The 5,531-nt window shown below is 41.7% G+C and overlaps 2 annotated features.

The window, feature by feature from the left end:
* Window positions 625-1,436: an enhancer, noted in NCBI's record as "OCT4-NANOG hESC enhancer chr5:115964490-115965301 (GRCh37/hg19 assembly coordinates)". NCBI's record gives its function as "activates a minimal SCP1, AML or CMV promoter by ChIP-STARR-seq in naive and primed H9 embryonic stem cells {active_cell/tissue: H9 hESC(naive and primed)}" and the evidence as "EXISTENCE:reporter gene assay evidence [ECO:0000049][PMID:30033119]".
* Window positions 4,970-5,099: an enhancer, noted in NCBI's record as "active region_22946". NCBI's record gives its function as "activates an Ori minimal core promoter by ATAC-STARR-seq in GM12878 lymphoblastoid cells {active_cell/tissue: GM12878}" and the evidence as "EXISTENCE:reporter gene assay evidence [ECO:0000049][PMID:35858748]".

Genomic DNA, 5,531 nt, shown 5'->3' on the forward strand with positions numbered 1-5,531 from the left:
CTACAGCTCTGTTCAGGGGTGGTCTGAAAGAAAGACTGAAGAGAAATTCTTCTAACAAGCAGAGATCTGGGAAGTGTACATGTTTATCCACTTCGTGTGCAAAGAGAAGTGGTGTACAGTAAGAACACATGTGGGCTCATTGTCAGTAAAAAAAAAATGGCTTGTCCAGTTAACCAGAGCCAGGAAGGAGAAAGTTTGGAGGATTAGGGTTGAAGAGACCTAGGGAAGAAGTGCGTGAAAGCCTCTTTGAGAGAGATAATGTGTGACAAGGTTTGTATCAAATATTAATGCTCAACAGAGAGTATCTTCCAGGGAAAAGGCACTACAACCCAGTAGGCAAAAGGACCCAGCCAGTTGACATCAGTCATTGGTCACTCTGATGCTAACAAATGGACCTCACACCATGGCAGCAGAGATGGAAGCTATGCATAGATCCAACAGCATGGGCGCCCTCTTACTAAGACTGATCTGCCACCCTGTATGTCCAGCCTTGTAGGAACATAGACCAATACTGAGCCACTGATTCAGCACATCCTCTGTGGAGACCAACCAGCCACTTGGTGGCAAGAGATTACATTGGAACCCTCTCATCTCAGAAGGAGCAGTGCTTCGTGTTGACTGAATCAACATGTGCACCAGATACAAGACTCCCTTTTCTGCCTGGAATAATCTGCCAGTATGACTCTCAAAAGGCTTAACTCACGGACATAGGATCCCATGTAGCACTGCATTGGATTGAGAGATAGAGAACTCAGTTAAAAACAAGGAGGTGTGGCAGTGGGCCCTTGACTATGGTATCCCCTGGCCTTATCACATCCTATGTCACTCAGAAGTTGAGATCTGAAAGAGTGAAAAAAAAGCTGCTTACTAGCCACTGAGGACCCAGCTTGGAGATGATAAGCTGTGAAGATGGGCGCTGTTCTCCAGACATAATATATATGTCCTAAATCAACAACCTTTCCCTAGAGCTGTGTCCCCAGTAGATAGCAAGTGCGAGTCTGGAAATCAAAGAGTAGAAATAGGCATAGCTCGGCTTATATCACTTCAAGTGACCAATGTAGGGAATTTATGCTTCTTACTACACTCCCAGGCTTTTGTGGTTTAGAAGTCCTAGTTTCTAAAGGGAGAACATTTCCACCAGGAAACTCAGCAGGAGACCCATTAAGCTTTAAGCTATGCTTACTGAATGTCGCTCATGCCAAAGCCTATCAGAAAAGGGAAATAGCCTTCATCCCAGCAGGAGTAATGGGCCCTGATGATCAGGAGGAGGTGGGGCTGCTGTTACTCCCTGGGATTCTCTTGGAACCCTCTTGCCTAATTTCAACAAAAAATGGACAAATGCAGTGGTCATGGCCTGAGAAAGGCTCAGATCTTACTGTTGAAGGTGGAGGTGTCCCCAACAGGTAAGCCTCTTAGACCATCAGAGGTGTTAGCCAAGGGTGAGGAGAATCTAGAATGAGTAGGGGAGGAGAGAAATGATGTGTGTAGTTACCTTGAAACTGCAGCATGGGAGTTGGGGGGGTTCTGGGGCTATAATTCCTGTCACTGGCCTTCCTCTTGTTAAGTTTACCTAGGAAAACAGGCCAGCGAGAATCTTGGAGGGGCTGTTCCCAAGTTTTGCTATAAAATGAAAGTGAATCCAAGTGGCCTGGGGCTGAATCTGAGTTCATGCTGTGGGCACTGCCCAGATGCCTTGTCAGAGCTAAGATCATTCTCCCAGCTACTGAGAGTGTGGGTAACCTGTGATGCTTAGCTGAGTCCCTCTCCAGGAATTGCCTTTAGCAAAAAATGAGCCACCTCTCTTCACCCAGACCACACTCCCCTCCCCAGGGAATGTACAGCCCAATTCAGTGTGTGGTCAGTGCAGAAGCAGAAAGGCTCAATTTGCCTGCATCTAGTGAGACATCTAGGAGGGTTCATCCTACTCCCTGAACTCCCCATGGGGTTGACTGAGGCCTTCGTCACAACTTCATTGCAGTTCATACCTCCCTTTGCCCCATCCCACTTCTTTCATTCTGCATGGGCATCGATCTTGATCGAGGCCACTCCCCAGAACACTCCCTGCCTGCATGTCTCTCTCAGGAGTCTGCTGCCTGGGGGTTGGATTTAAGACACATGCTGGTCTTCCCCTAGGAGTAATTTCCCTGTCCACACTTTTGATCAAATTTCCTTGAATTATCTTAATTTGAGTGTGCCCTCTGAATTTTGATGGGATCTGGACTGACGGGGCAGGGTATTGGGCTAGGGACATGACTGGCAGGTAAGTCTGCCTAATTCTGAGGCTCAGTATTAGTAGGACTCTTTACTGACACATGGAATTTGTATTCTCAAACGTACCAAAATCAGCTTACTAAAGATATTTTGGTCTCCACCTTAATTCTTTGTTTGTTAAAAGTAATGGCAAAAACCACAATTCCTTTTGTACCGACCTAATCAACTATTCAGAACCTGAATGGAAGCCACTCCTTGGTGGTTCCCTTAGAAACCTCAGCCCCATCCAGAGCCCTTGTATCAGATTTGGATGGAAAGGGCATGTGTTTAGCCCGTTCAAGGGTGACTTTTAGACAGTCCTCTCTCTCTCTCTGTGTGTGTGTGTGTGTGTGTGTGTGTGTGTGTGTGTGTGTGTGTGTAGGTTCAGCCTTTTCTCACTAAGACAGTTATTTTCACCCATAGGCAGGCACCCTGATGGGAGAGGCAGGATGAATGGATCTCTTTGATACTCAAAGTTTTTTAAGCCATTGATGTGTTATGTGTCTAAAATAATATTCTTTTTTGAAAAATTATTGTTTCATGATATGATTAATAAATTATTTTCTTTGTTAAATATCGATTAAAAATTATATTAATAATTATGTTAATAATTAAGAATTATAGATAAGGATAAAATTCCTTTTGACTGTTACAGCAGTCCACTCCCAAGAGAATAAACTGTTACCTTCCAGACCTTTTCAAAATTGACAGGATCTATTTAAAGTCCTGTATTTTATTTGACCAGAAAATTCTATTTTTCAGATGTTACATTTAAGAAAACTTCTTGAATGTACATGACAAAGAATGAACAAGCATATTTATTGCAACATTGTTTATAATAGCAATAAAGGTAAGCAACTTAATAGGGGACTAAATAAATTGTGGTATATTTTTACAATGACAGAGTATACAGTAGTAAAAACAGTGAGGTGGAGCCCTAAGTGCTAACTTGGAAAAAGCTTCAGGAAATATCACTGAGTGAAAAAGGAGATTGCAGAATGATAAATGTAATGTGATGCATTTTATCAGGGCTATTTAGGAAAATTATGGCCTAATAGAAATGACCTGGGCTGAGTGAGAGGAGCAGAAATGGGGAGAGTGATTATTGCCCCTCGCTTGCTTTGCCTCCTTTAGCCATTTCTTCCTGTTCTCTCAATCATTCTTTCCCCTCTTTCACTCCACATTCTTTCCTTTCTTCATCACTTCTTTTCATAGTTAAAATTGAAGCCAAGTCTACCCTCTAGGAATTGTATGTGTTTGTGCTCATTAACAACCAGTTGAACTCTGTTGATTAGCAATATGGTCAATCCAAACTGGTTGTTAAAGTGTCAAAATAAATGGATCCAATACCTGCACCCGGGCTCACATGATCTCGTTGATGAATAATTAATATAGCCTCAATATGATGCATTATATGGAAACCTGCCTGCTTTGGCTACTGTGAAAGCTTAAAAATAAACCAACCACTTGACAAAGTTACAAAAAAATATATAAAAAAGAAATTTGCAGTATGGGTTGAATGAATAATAAATATATAGTGTTTGCATTAAAGAAAGTACCAGTGGCATTGTACTTTGTGTTATTATTAGAGTGTGTAGATTATTTGATTTGAAGAATTCTAGTTTAATGACTTCCTTTTGCACTGAAGGAAATAGTGGCCCAGGGAAGTAAGGTCGTAAAGCAGGCCTGTTCAGTGGTCTTCCGGTAACACACTTTGTAGGTAATAGAGATGGTCATTCTCCTTTCCTTTCGGAATAGTTCCATCTCTCTCTGCTATGGTAGGAACCAAATGTGTGGATCCTCTTTTACTCATAGGTCTGTATCTGGGGCACAAGCCTTATGGCGTGGATAGAAATGGCTGACACAGTGCTGAATTGGCTTAGGAAAAGGAAGACCGATGCTGGGTTTCTCTGGAGCTCTGTGTCATAGTTTGAAGATGACTCCAATGCCAGAGCCTCTGGGAACAAAATAATATGAGAAATGATCACAGAAGCGGTCATTTTAAGCTAGAAGAAACTCAGAAGAAGGGTTACCAGATTCTTACAAAGCATCTAATTAAACATGAATTTTAGATAAACAATGAATACTTTTAAAGTATAATTATACCCCAGATATTGCATGGAACAAACTTATACTAAAAATTATTCATTTCTTATCTAAATTCAAATTAATTGGGTCTCAAGTGTTTTTATTTGTTAAGTCTGTCTAGCCCAACAAGATCTATGTTGAAATATGTAACTCAAAATGTCTTATAACCTGAAGAACACACTATTCTCTATGTTTCTTTGTCTCTTTGACCCCAACGTTTTAAATTATGACCAATACTTTAAACTCCAAAGGTATTGGATATTAGATCAATTCAAGGACAAATTTTGTAAAAACTGGAGTGTTCTGCAGCAGAACAGATTGCCTCAAAAATAGTGAATTCCTCTGCCAAGGATACGCCTGTATCAACATTTGTAATGACAAAAAACTGGGAGAAACATAAAAGGTCATGAATAAGCGACTGTTTAAAAAAAATTAGGGACACGTCTACGCAATGGAATTCTCTACAGATTTTTTTTCTAGCCTCAGCTGCTGTTATAATAGGACTGTCACCACTGTCATAACCTGACCAATCAACTAGTTTCCCAACAGACAAGCTGGTCTTTCTGAAACCTTAGAAGCATTCATCATGCACTTCAGAATGGTTTTCTGTCTGTACATAATGGGGATTTCCAAGCAGATCTTTAAGTAAAAAAAGCATAACAAGCAGTATGCATGTTGACATAGTTTGGGTGTTTGTTGAAATGTGATCCTTAACATTGCAGGTGGGGCCTGGTGGAAGGTGATAGGGACATGCGGGTGAATCCTTCATGAATGGCTTGGTGCCATCCTTGTTCCCCTCTCTCTTGCTCCTGCTCTGGCCATGTGACGCATCTGTTCCCCCTTCTCTTCCGCTGTGACTAAAAGCTTCTTGAGGCTCTCACCAGAAGCAGACGCTGATGCCATGCTTCTTATACAGCCTGCAGAACCATCAGCCAAAGAAATCTTTTCTCTTTTTCTTTTTCTTTTTTCCTTTTTTTTTCTTTTTTTGAGACAGTCTCACTTTGCCACCCAGGCTGGAGTGCAGTGATGCAATCTCGGCTCACTGCAACCTCTGCCTCCCGGGTTCAAGTAATTGTCCTGCCTCAGCCTCCCGAGTAACTGAGACTACAGGCATGTGCCACCACACCTGGCTAATTTTTTTGTATTTGTAATAGTGATGGGGTTTCACCATGTTGGTCATGCTGGTCTCAAAT

The sequence above is a fragment of the Homo sapiens genome, chromosome 5 (genome assembly GCF_000001405.40).
Source record: "Homo sapiens chromosome 5, GRCh38.p14 Primary Assembly".
NCBI classification, from domain to species: Eukaryota; Metazoa; Chordata; class Mammalia; order Primates; family Hominidae; genus Homo; species Homo sapiens.